At 37.5% G+C, this 11,975-nt stretch overlaps 1 long non-coding RNA gene across 2 annotated transcripts in view; it reads right to left on the bottom strand.

Moving 5' to 3' along the window:
- LINC03005 (long intergenic non-protein coding RNA 3005) overlaps nucleotides 1-11,587 on the bottom strand; it is a 74,415-nt gene extending 62,828 nt beyond the window's left edge. For both annotated transcript variants that reach the window (NR_134614.1, NR_134613.1), the window contains exon 1: nucleotides 11,384-11,587. This is a non-coding gene — a long non-coding RNA (long intergenic non-protein coding RNA 3005). The remainder of the gene's footprint in view (nucleotides 1-11,383) is intronic.
- Between the last annotated feature and the right edge of the window lie 388 nt (nucleotides 11,588-11,975).

Consider the following 11,975-nt stretch of genomic DNA (forward strand, 5'->3'; position numbering starts at 1 on the left):
ACTGAGAAGGAATATTTCCTCTAACCCTCTTGGATTCTCTGATATCCAGATGAATAGAAGATGATCTAGGTTACCGTGGTGGAGAAAACTTTGCAAACTCTTGAGGAATAAAAGCAAAGGGGCAAAACAGCCAGAAGCAGAAGGTATTAGTTAAATATCTCCCTTACATCCTCCATCTTATGGTGCTCTCCTCATAGATGAAGACTGAGCTCAGTTATGAAGCATTTTCTCCTAGTTTAAACCTATTCCTAAGCCACCTCTCCTCATCCCACGATACAGCTTCTGTGGACGATAGCAACGTGAACTGGGCAAGCAAGCATCTTCAAAGAGAGCTGAGAGGATCAGGTGCAACTTTTTGGTTGGCGACCTCATTCCTTTGGGAAGAAATGGATAAAAAAAATCAAAGAGAGGCTGCAGTTCTTGGCCTGGTATCTGGGCTAACTGTAGCTTTACGGCTCTGCCTTGATGTGTGTTTAAGCAGCAGCAGCCTGCAGTCTGGCACAAGGAGGATTTTTCCTCCACTTGTTTTATTCTAAATAGTTTTCAAAAGCTCCTGTGGAACACAGACTGTGGCTTTGATCTGGCCAACTTCTTCAGTACTGACGTTCCCATGAAAAACCCCAGCTCAGACCAGCTTCAGCCACTTTTAAAATTCTCATTTAAATTCAAATTCCCCCTAATCTTAACAGGCGAGAGGTAGACGAAGAGCAAGAAAGCGAGATGCCTCTCATGTGTCCACACAGCCCTCAGATCAAATAGATGCACCTAGGCAGCAGGGAGGGTGTAGAGATCCCAGAAGAAAATAGCAAAATACTTGATGTGGGCCATGTACCTCCTAGACCAGGGCTTCTGACTGACACTCGGCTCACATCAAACAGCAATGTATTTATGAAAGCTCCCTTTAAGATCTCTGAATGTTTTATGCCATATTTTTGGTTAAAATAGAAATAAAAGGCTTGATGTAGTGTGCAGTGTTTACAGAAAGAAGCATCATTTGCTTGGGTTCGTTTCATGGGCATTCCTGAAAGTTTATTGGTAGATTTTACTTTTTCCACCTCTATCCCCACAGCCTCCTCCAAGTTTACAATCAAAGATCGTCCCTTGTTCTTGGTAATTTGAGGAATCTTACCAACCTTAAAGATGCAGGGAGGTATTTGGAATTTATATGAACTGACAGAAGATTCACACTTTTTCAAGGATGTCGTGCAGGAAATATACAATCACTTTTCTGCCTTTCCTCTCTTGCCCCAGGGAAGAGGGCCTGATCTCCCATTTGCCTTCTTTGGTATACAATATGGTTACTTCTGGTTTTACATTGAGCCCTCCACCACCACCCCCAACCCCTAACTCACTCCACTATGAATTTGGTAATTTTTGATCACTCTGTATCTGCAGTAGAAGGCTTCTTAGCTAACCACTTGAGTAGAGTGACCTTGACTTATTCTGTGAACTCAGTTCTGGACTTATTCTGGAATAAGTCAGGACTGGACTCAGCTCCAGAATTTCCTCTAGTCTAGGCTCACTGGTCTTTCCACCATGACTGGGGCTGACTTTCATCTACCTTCTAGCTACTTCATGAGTTGCTTTTGGAGAAATAATATGGGATAGACTTTCTTGGCCAAAAATCCAATTTCTCCAGGAGAAAAGTTGACAAAGCACAAACTAACAATAAGTAGATTTTATCACTGATCTTTGAGATACGTTAGGGACACATTATGGTTTTCTAAGTTGCTACTCATTTGATCCAAAATTCACAGCTAAGAAAATATATATCATCCAGTGATCTGGGAAAGTACGATTCTACAACCTATTATTTTCTGAAATTATTCTTTCCTTTCTGCTTCCATTCCCTCTGCCTTAGATAAGGACCTTATTCTTAATTACTAATAACCTCTTAATTAGTCCATTTACTGTCATTAGAAAATGATGTCAAAAATGTAAAAATAGGAGACTGATAAGGCCTCTCTTGCTCCACTGTTTAAAATATTTCACTGCCTATCCAGTACTTACATCAGTATCTCCTAAGGGACAGGAACCAGAGAAAAACTTCAGCAAGTTAATAAATGGCAAAATATGATTTAGAAAACTTGGGCAGTGAAACCTCCTCCTGGAGGCTTCAAAGGCATTGATTTGGAGCAGTGATGGCCTGAATAAACTAGTTCAATCCAGAATTCTCTTAATGTATTTAAGCATGGAATTTCTTTTTCAAGTTTTACCTATTCAATATCTGTAGTACTAGTTTCCACAAAGACACATTGGGTAATGCTTTCTAGAATAAAAGCCAAGCTGCTTAACTGATAGCACGGGACACATTGTGACGGGTTATTTTCAGTCTCCTTATTAGCCTGGCTTCCCACCCCTTGATGCCTTTCTCTGTTACCTTCTACCTGAACAAGGCACACACCACAGTGTTGTAGTCCTCTGTGCCTTTGCAGTTGCCCATTCCTCTGCCTAGAGTCATTTTCCTCCCCTTGCTTGCCTGGTAAACTGTTTTCCCCCATCTTTTCAAACTCAGAAGAGATGCCTCTCCCCAAGGAGGATTCTTCACTGACTCTTGTCCAATAAAGGGAATCACTCCCTTCATCATTCTACACTATGCTTTGTTCACCTCATTTGCATTTTGGTTGCATTCATCATACTGGTTTGTAACTGTGTTTGTGGGTCTAATGCGTTTTAAAATTTATGAGAGATTTCATGGAAGGAATCTGTGTAATGAGTTTTGGGTTATGCGTGGAACAGGGTAGGAGCTTAAATGATGTTTGTAGAACAGGCGAATGGTCACATTTCATATGGTAGTAACATCATCTGGATTCTGAACTTCTGCTGGTGAAGGTATCTTAGGTTAGTTAACATATATACATCAAAAAAAGGCAAAAATGTTCTCATAGGAAAATGAGATGTATAAGGTATGTGTATATATATACACATAAATACATATGTACATGTATCTGTATATACATCTATAAATACATAATACACACATGTATAGTTTCAGTATATAAAAGGACACACACAAATGCACACACACACACACAAGCTTATGCTTATTCCCTCACAAAAATAATTTTCCCCAGCCATGAGACACTGCTATTTAATTAAGGATTATTAGGAAATACAGGAAGAGAAACTTTACCAAGGGCACTGAAACACATAGGTGGTTATAGAAATAAAACCTTGGTATTTTTATTCTTTACACATAACCTTCACTTCTACAGTCTCATCCAAACAACAGACCTGCAGCATCTTACACAGACTTCTATTTATCTACTTGGGCTGAGCTGACCCCACTGGAAATCGAACATTGCTGCAGATATTGATCCAGGCACATGGACACTGGCGAGGCTCCCTTTGTGTGAAATTTACAGAAGGGCCTGCTGGAGAGGGCATTCTAAGTACAGAAGCATCCACAAGACTGCTGCTTCCCTCATAGGTCTGATAGAAAGAAATCTGCGGCCACTTCTATCTGGGCAAGGGAATAGCACCACTGTGGTGCCTCACCGTGTATTGTGCTGAGCATGGCTCGGCTGTCCTGCTCACCCCTCTCATTCCTCTAGCTCCTCCATCTTGCTCTGACTCTTAATGTAATGTGACCAGTTAGTCATGACCTTCACATGCTGCACTGGTGCTCTGTTCTCCCTCTGCTCTGTCTCTCTGGCCTTAAGCTGTAGTGAACTCACTAAGCACGAGACTCCCCTTTAAAACATCTAACTGAAAGGAGTGTTGTTTGCTTTCTGGCCCTCAAACACCAAGGCACTGTTGTGCTCCTTAAAATTGTAAATTATGTCTGTTTAAGAAAATGTCAGTGTTTTTTAAAACAGAATAACAGTGCTGGAAAAGACTTGGCTGTGCAATTTGTTACCAAAGTTTCATGCAAGAAAAATGATGCATTCATCATTATGAGCACAGTCAAGGGTTCTAATGACTTGGGCACAATGCCTCTTCAGTTCTTTTAAGGAAAATGATGAACTTTTTTCTTTCTCCTCAGCAAGTTATCTGAGTAATGTAAAAGCTCATAAACTGAGATTCAGGGAGACACTGTCAATGAGGCACTATACTGAACAATTAAAACGTAAGACACATCTTGTATAATTAAATTGATTTTTTTTTCTGCCAGAAACAAGACCTTCTCAGGTAATGATTGCTTTGGTTGTCTAAAATTGTATGTATTGGGGCGGCGGAGGAGGAGATCTGTTGTTACATTTATACATCACTTCATGTGTCTCCAAAATCCAATTCCTAAATAGGCCAATAGGATGATTCTTAAGTAGGGAAGGGTAAATAGCTATGGAGGATCAGTACAATCGATGTAGTGTCACTGCACTAGGAAACATATTATTTAGCTACTTAGAATTTCAGCTCTGCAAGTGGACTCACAGGTTTAGGAAGGCGAGGGTGAAAGTGTTAGCAAATGGGGCTAGGCCTCTGATTTTGATGATTTCTCTGGACAGCTGGGACCTAGGCAAGGATCTTAACTTACCCGTGCGTTCTCCAGCGTCACACAAGCATGAGGTTGTCACATTTTGTGTGTGTCTGAAATACATTAAGGTCTGTAAATCAAAATGCTTCACTTTTTATATTAAAAATTGCCTTTTAAGGATAAGTATAACACCACACCCTCAAAAAGCACAGTGTCTTTTTGACCCCTGGGTAAATGTATTAAACTGGAATATTTACCTGAATTTTCCTTACTTGGCCTCCATTCATGCTAAGCAGCTGTTGGAATGAATACAAAGGGACTTGCCTGACTTTCTAGCAATAAGCTTCATTTTTTTTCCTCATGGCTTGAACACATTATTTAGTGGATTGAGTTTTACCTTTTCCTGCAGTGGGAGTGGCTGCTTTTCTGTTAAATATTACTGGGTTTTATTAAGAGATATTAAGAGAAACCCTTGCCATATGGCAATTTCAAAGAAAGAAGGAATTAAAAAAGGGAGCTATGTTTGCTTTTATTTTTACCGGATGTTTGAAAAGCTAGAAGTAACCCAGAGGAGAGTAGGCCAGGGGTTTTGTGTCAGTGGGTGGAACGCATTTGCTGTGAAATGTGATGGAATGTTTACTGAGCTATTTTCCTCAAAAATAAAAATGTTCCTGCTCTCATATCCAGTTTACACAGCAGTAGCCTTTTTAAAAATGTTGCCTCCGCGATGGGCGGGCAGGCTTCGTGTTGCTCTCTTTGGAAGTAATGGCTCAAGGTTGTGCCTGGCTACGCTCACACTGTTGGGCAAAAGCACAGACAGATACGCTCCATTTCCAAGCATGTGGGAGCTGAGTTCCATCTCTTTCAGGTATTTACTAAAGACATATCTAATGGATGGGAGGAAATCTAATCCTAACAATGTTTTCTTGCTGTCTAGGTTAACATATGTGTTTCTATGCCTGACTCTCAACCTTGGACCTGTACCTCTGCAATCACTTGGCCCTGGATGGATGAGGGAGGGTGGCATGTGAATAGAAACTGGACCAGGGAGACCACCAAGGAATGATGTGCCCTCGAGCAAGGTCCTCATTCTCTTTGAGCCTCTAGATTCTGTTAGAAGAAAGCAATGATACCATCTAACCTGATTAGGACAGTTATTTATTTGTAATAATTCTATGCATATAGAAAGAGATGGAATTTAATATAATAAAATCATAGCAGTGGTGATGTTAGTGGAGTGGGATTTTAGGAGAATCTGGTCTTCCGTGTCTCTGGATTTTCTGTAATTTTTCCTACGCACACACATGCATACTTGCACACACTAGTGACAACAACAACATTAAAAGGCTTTTGGGCAGGTCTTCACAATGAATAATTCATATTATTTACTCTTCATATGCACCAATACTCTTCAGTCAAAAAAATAAAATACATATAAAATACCTACAAAGTATATATACTCTATCATACTCCTTCATGGATTGTTTTGAAATTAAATGATTGAGCAAAAGTGCTTAATATCTTATAGCTTATTTTATAGGTATTAATTGTTATTTTGGAAATTATATTACCATTACTATATTGCTATCTGAAGTAACTAGTTTGTCACAAACATACATATACACATATATTATATGATTTTTATATTGTTATCATGTATCTCTCTCTATCATCTATCTATCTATCTATCTATCTATCTATCTATCTATCTATCTATATCTCCAGTAATTTGAACACTATTTGGGGTATTACATTTTTATTCATTTAGTGAGGGAATGTTAGTTAAAACTTTATTTTGGAAATGTGAAGATGAACTGTTTTGGAGGCTAGTTTTAAAAATTAAAAAGTGTGTTTTTTTAAACAACAGCAACAAAAGACCAGATCTTTATGTTGTCTTAGTTACTACCATAGTTTTAAAACTTCCATGTTTTCCAAGTCTGTGATTTTCTCTCTTTGAAATTCACTTTAGATGTCTGAGTGCCTTTTTTTTTTTTGACAGAGTCTCGCTCTATTGCCCAGGTTGGAGTGCAGTGGCGCGATCTCGGCTCCCTGCAGCCTCCGCCTACCGGCTTCAAGTGATTCTCCTGCCTCAGCCTCCTGACTTTTTCTTTTTCTTTTCTTTTTTTCTTTCTTTTTTTTTTTTTTTTACAGTGGATCCTGCATTAGAAAACCACCAACTTATTGTAACTTTTAGTTAATTATAAAAAGATAACTTTGTCATTGTTCAATCTTATAAAACAATGAAACCAAGTATAAACTATTTTAAGTAAATTGCTTTTATGGGATTTCTCTTTTCAGAATTGACTGTGGCTCCATGGTTTGTTGTAATTAATTAAACCGTGTTCATTTGGAGTTTTGATCAAATTAGCTAAATATATTTATTTTATTCTATATTTGACCAAAAGTTTGTTAGTATTAGCGTCATCTAGATTTTAGAGACAGTAATAAAAACTGGTCAAAATACTAAGTGGGAAAGTGTACTGCTGTAGCTTATCAATGTTAGAGCTTGAAAATACCTAAAAAACTGAACGCAAACAAGTAAACAAACAGAAAGAAAAAGCAAGAGCGCTAAATCCAGACGTATGCATACAAGCAGTATAAATTACCAGAAAAAACACTAGGTCAAGGTAAGGGGGGCATGAATTCCTAGTCCAGCTTTGGAATTCCCATGTGGATTTAGGTGAACTGCCCCTAAGCCTCAGTGCCCTTTATTCACAAATAGATTTAATTGGGCCAAAACAGTTCTGTAGGAAGTACCAATAGAAGGGAGTGTATGTCCTGTGCACATTTAATTTTGAACTATAGAAGCTCTATTTTTGTATGTTTTATATATTCCTGTCTTATGTACAGTTCAGTTTGGAGTGAAGTAAGTGTTCTCTGTTTAAAAACTATTAATGTATACATATTCCTCTCTAAGTAATCACTGAGACAGGCTGGCCTCCTCTAATACATGATTTAGGATACTCATTGTGTAGAGAAATCCTCGTATCTGGAATAATGTGGAGAATAAGAGTATGAATAGTGAAAATGATTCATTTAGTCAAATATTTATTGGTATCTACTATATGATAGAAAACTGAGGTCATAAAACAGCAAATCTTAAAAGGAAGTTCTGGATTGGAGTTAGGAAACCTAGAATTCAGTTGGGTCTAACCACACTAGCCCTGTCACCTTAACAAGTCAAATTTCTAGAGCTAGCTTATAATCTGATTTTCTGAACATATACCTTGTCAAATGTTGCTTTGGTTTCTAAATGTCCACCTACCCATTCCCTCTTATGGCAGCCCAAATATACTAAAACTTCCTTCCTTTTTTTTTTTTTTTTCTGAGCTAGAGTCTCGCTCTTTTGCCCAGGCTAGAATGCAGTGGCGTGATTATGACTCACTGTCACCTTTGATCCTGGGCTCAAGCGATCCTCCCACCTTGGCCTCCCAAAGTGTTGGATTTTCAGGTGTGTGCCACCAAGCCCGGCCTCAGACTTACTTCTGATAATGTAACTCTGACTATACTAATTCGATTTAATTACTCTATGATTTTAGGTTTTAGTTTTCTAAAAACTCCTTTCCAGCAAATTTTTTACTCCTCACTTGTGTTCGTTTTGTCTATCATTAAGGTATTATTGCTTTACTCCTAACATGGGAAGCTCTCAGCTCCTTTAAAACACAACTTTGGGAGGGAAATGCTTGCATCCACTTGCATCTACTTTTCCATGAATTACTTGAACAAGTATTTGTCCACGGCAGGAGGGATTGAGCATGGTGGGATGGATTTGCAGAGTGTCTATTAATAACAATGATGAAGGGACGAAAAGCGAAAAAGAGACTGACAAGTAATGATCACAAAAAGAGAAAAGAGAATTTTCCAAGTAGAAATACAACACATGTTTCCTGACCTTCACAGAGGAATTTAAGTTTATGTCATTATAAAGCTCTGAAGATATTTCAATGATTATGATGGACAAAATGGAGCTCTTAAATAATCATACAGGTATGTAGCAGTTCATACTTAACATTAATATAGTATTATAGAGTATTATAAAAGTTCAAAGCCTGAGGTCATCTTTGCTAGATGATTTCTATGTCAATGAAAACTCAAATGTATAAGCCAAAAAGATTGCATGCACTGAGCTATCATCCTTCTCACATTCTTATATTTATGAAAACTTGTGCTAAAATTTCATTATCACCAACGTTTCTATCCTAATAAAAGAAAAATAACTCACAATAGAAAGATACCCATGCCAGTCAGTGGGCAGGAATACACTACGCAATTTCACGTCTCTAAGACCACAGATCAAAATAAATTACCCCACTTAAGGCAGACAACAGCAGGAGGACCTGACCTGGCCTGTGGTCCTATCCACTCCCTTTTCTGTAGGTTTTTGTTCATTCTAAATATAAGTGATCAGTTCTTACAAGTTTATATTCAAATAAGGGTTCAGAAGTAAATAAATGCATCTCTTCATTCAGTCAAGTAAAGTAATCCAATTTTCCTAGTGTATGCACATATGTTAGTGGTTTGCTAATATATATATATATTTTTTCTTTTTTAGAAATACATGTGCTGTGGCTTCAAGGGTGGAAAATTTTACACACTTATATAAGTAAGGAGGTTTACTTGTAACCCTTTTGCATATGTTTTGGAGAAAACCTCTTTAAGAAAATAAATATTGCTTTAGCACCTAGAAATACATATAAAATACTGTGTTTAAATATCTCTCTTCCAGACCCTCCAAACAGTAGTATCAGGCCAATGGTTCTTTTGGTGCCTCGTCTTGGCACTGCGTTTATTCTAAAACATATTCTAGAAAACACCAAGTAGGTATGCCAGTTATGACCTTCCAAATACATTCCACTTCTCAGCATGCTAGAATATATTTAAAACAGATTATATTTTCCTTCTGTGTTTCAGTTTTCACAGTTAATAAGACAGGCATTTCCATGGCTGACTTGCTGTTTTCATGGATAGCAAATATTCTGATTAGTATTCCAGATGCCAAGTTTACCAAATTTTATTCAGAATAGGAAATGCCATAGAAATTAAAGGTTTTGCCTCTTACTGTTTATAGCTAAAACATCAAAATAATAATATATAGCTAATATTCATGATTGTTCTGGTAGCTGCTGTTTCTAATGAAATATCCCTTGAACCAGTGTGCCTTGAAAAATATTCATGTGATGTAGAAGCTGCTGAGTTTAAAAAATATCTCCTAGCACTAATCTTATATTTAAAACTGTAACATAAAATCTTGCTTTGGATCAGAGAGATGACAAGGAGATTTGGAACAATGACTCTCCTGTCATTTCAGTCCTTATGACCTAAACTTCTTTGCTATTCTATCATATACAACAAACCTTTTAATACCCTCTCCAAGTGGGAAATAGTTGAAGGTAACGTTGTGTAGGTTGCTGGTAAGATTTTCCAACTATTCTTGGGAAACTAACATAATGAGTTGTGTTTCAGTACAAGATCTACCATAACTTCCTAACCTCTTTTTTTCACAGGGAAAATGGACCCAGTGTTTCAAAAAAAAAAAAAAAAAAAAGGAAGCTCAGGCATTTTTTCCCTCATTTTGACTCATCATATGTTTTATGATGTTATGATATTAAACATGGTGTTGTAATAAATAAGATCAATAAAAGTCAATAAGTGATTGGATGGGAAATGGAGGAAAATGTAGATGTTATATGGCAGTGATGATGGAAATAGGTATTTCCAAGAGGGATGATAGTGCAACTTGTGGGTCACATGAATTTGTCATACTTTCCAAAGATCAGTCAAAAACTATAAAAGGGATCCTTTTGAATTTTAAATATTGTATTCTTCATAAAATGTCGGCTAATTTCACTGTTACATGGGCTGACAGGTTTATTTATTAAGCCTAGAAGTTTTCTTCTTAATTAGTTTAATAATAACATTTTGGGTTGAATGCACTATAAACTTTATTTTGAGAGCACCTGCAACTGGAAGAATAACCTGAAATTACATTGATAATGGGTGTGTAAATTGAGCTGTTTTCCAGATCTGATGAATTTTTCTCTATTGAGAATTTTCCAGAAAGAAATATATTTCACTCAGTCTGGCATACAATAGCTAGCACCATTTTCCTGTCTCATACTCAAGGTCAGTTTGATAGAGGATGTGAGAATGCATAGCTGATTGGCCAGCTATACTGCCACCCAGTTAATGTTTAACGATGGGTGCTGGCTTTAGCAATCTTCATGGGTATTGTTCTGTCTGGATCCTTATCTCAGGCTGGTTTATAGTTAGAAGAGTCTCTAAAACTTTTTGAGAATTATTTATTCATGATCTCTGGTGGCTATAATTTCAGTTTAAATCCAGAGCAAAGAATCAGCATGATGCTATCTTCTTTCTCTAGAAGTTCAATAAATTGAAGAGAAAGTAAATTGCCATTAGCAAGGAAATTCACATTTAAAAAAAAATGCATGTCTGTTAGGATGCAGTGGCCCAATATGCCTTCAAAAAGTAAGAACTCTCTTCTTAAAGGCAGAATCAGGTTCATGACCTAAGAATCTGCCTTCTTATACTACATCAAAGAGAAGAAAGAAAAGAAGGAAGGAAAAAGGAAAGAATTTTATCAGGCCAAGAATTCCCTTCTTCTTTCCTTCGTTCTCTTTAATGTAGTATAAGAAGGCAGATTCTTAGGAAAGACAAAAAGAAAAACTGAAAGAAGGAAGGAAAGAATGAAGAAAAAAGGAAGAAATAAAGGCAGAGAGTAATTAAGAATAAGCTACTTTTTGAAAGTTATCCAAGTAAGTTAATTATAAAAGCAAAATAAATGTCCAGATCTAGTCACATTTACACAAATTAGCATTAAGTTCTTTTTCAGTCATTTGTTAGTTGTCATTCATTCATTCTTCCAAGCTTGTGCTAAGAGCCGGAAGAATGATAGAAAAGACTCTTACCATATAAGGCAATGGTTTAAAACCATGGGCAAAACCCTACCTTTGAATACTTGACTGTCAGCAAAGTGACCTCCACAAAGTGCCATCCAATTTCCATTCCCCTTCCAGCTTCTTTGATGTTTCCAGGAACTGATAAAGTATGCCTTCTGCATTTAATATTTATAAATTGGTTAAATGTCTCAGGCTTTGGTCTAAGCCATATAACATAGGGCAAAGAATGAAAGAGGTTAGTCAGATCAGAGAGAAAAGCAAAGAGAGAAAGGGTCTCAACAGAGCTGTAGTTATTTTCTGTAACCAACTGGCCCTCGAAAACAACTGACATCCTTAGTCAGATGCTAAGCATGTGATGTGGAATGGCCATGGCTGGCACCCTTCACAGAGGATCGTGCGTCTCCACTGTGCAGGTGTTTCTGCTCCTGGAGGCCTGCCAGCCAGCAACCTGATTCTCTGAAGGGATCATACACAGTTGCCTCCTAGTTAAAACGGGACACTTATGCAAACACAGGATCCACTGTTGTTAAATTGAGTTGCTCTTGTTACCTTTCATTCTCTGGTTGTAAATGAGAGAAGCAGATGCTGGCAATGCAGGCTTTACAATGCTTGTTTTTCTACTCATTTAAATCGGCACCCAC

Source organism: Homo sapiens, chromosome 6 (assembly GCF_000001405.40).
Source record: "Homo sapiens chromosome 6, GRCh38.p14 Primary Assembly".
In the NCBI taxonomy this organism is placed as follows: Eukaryota; Metazoa; Chordata; class Mammalia; order Primates; family Hominidae; genus Homo; species Homo sapiens.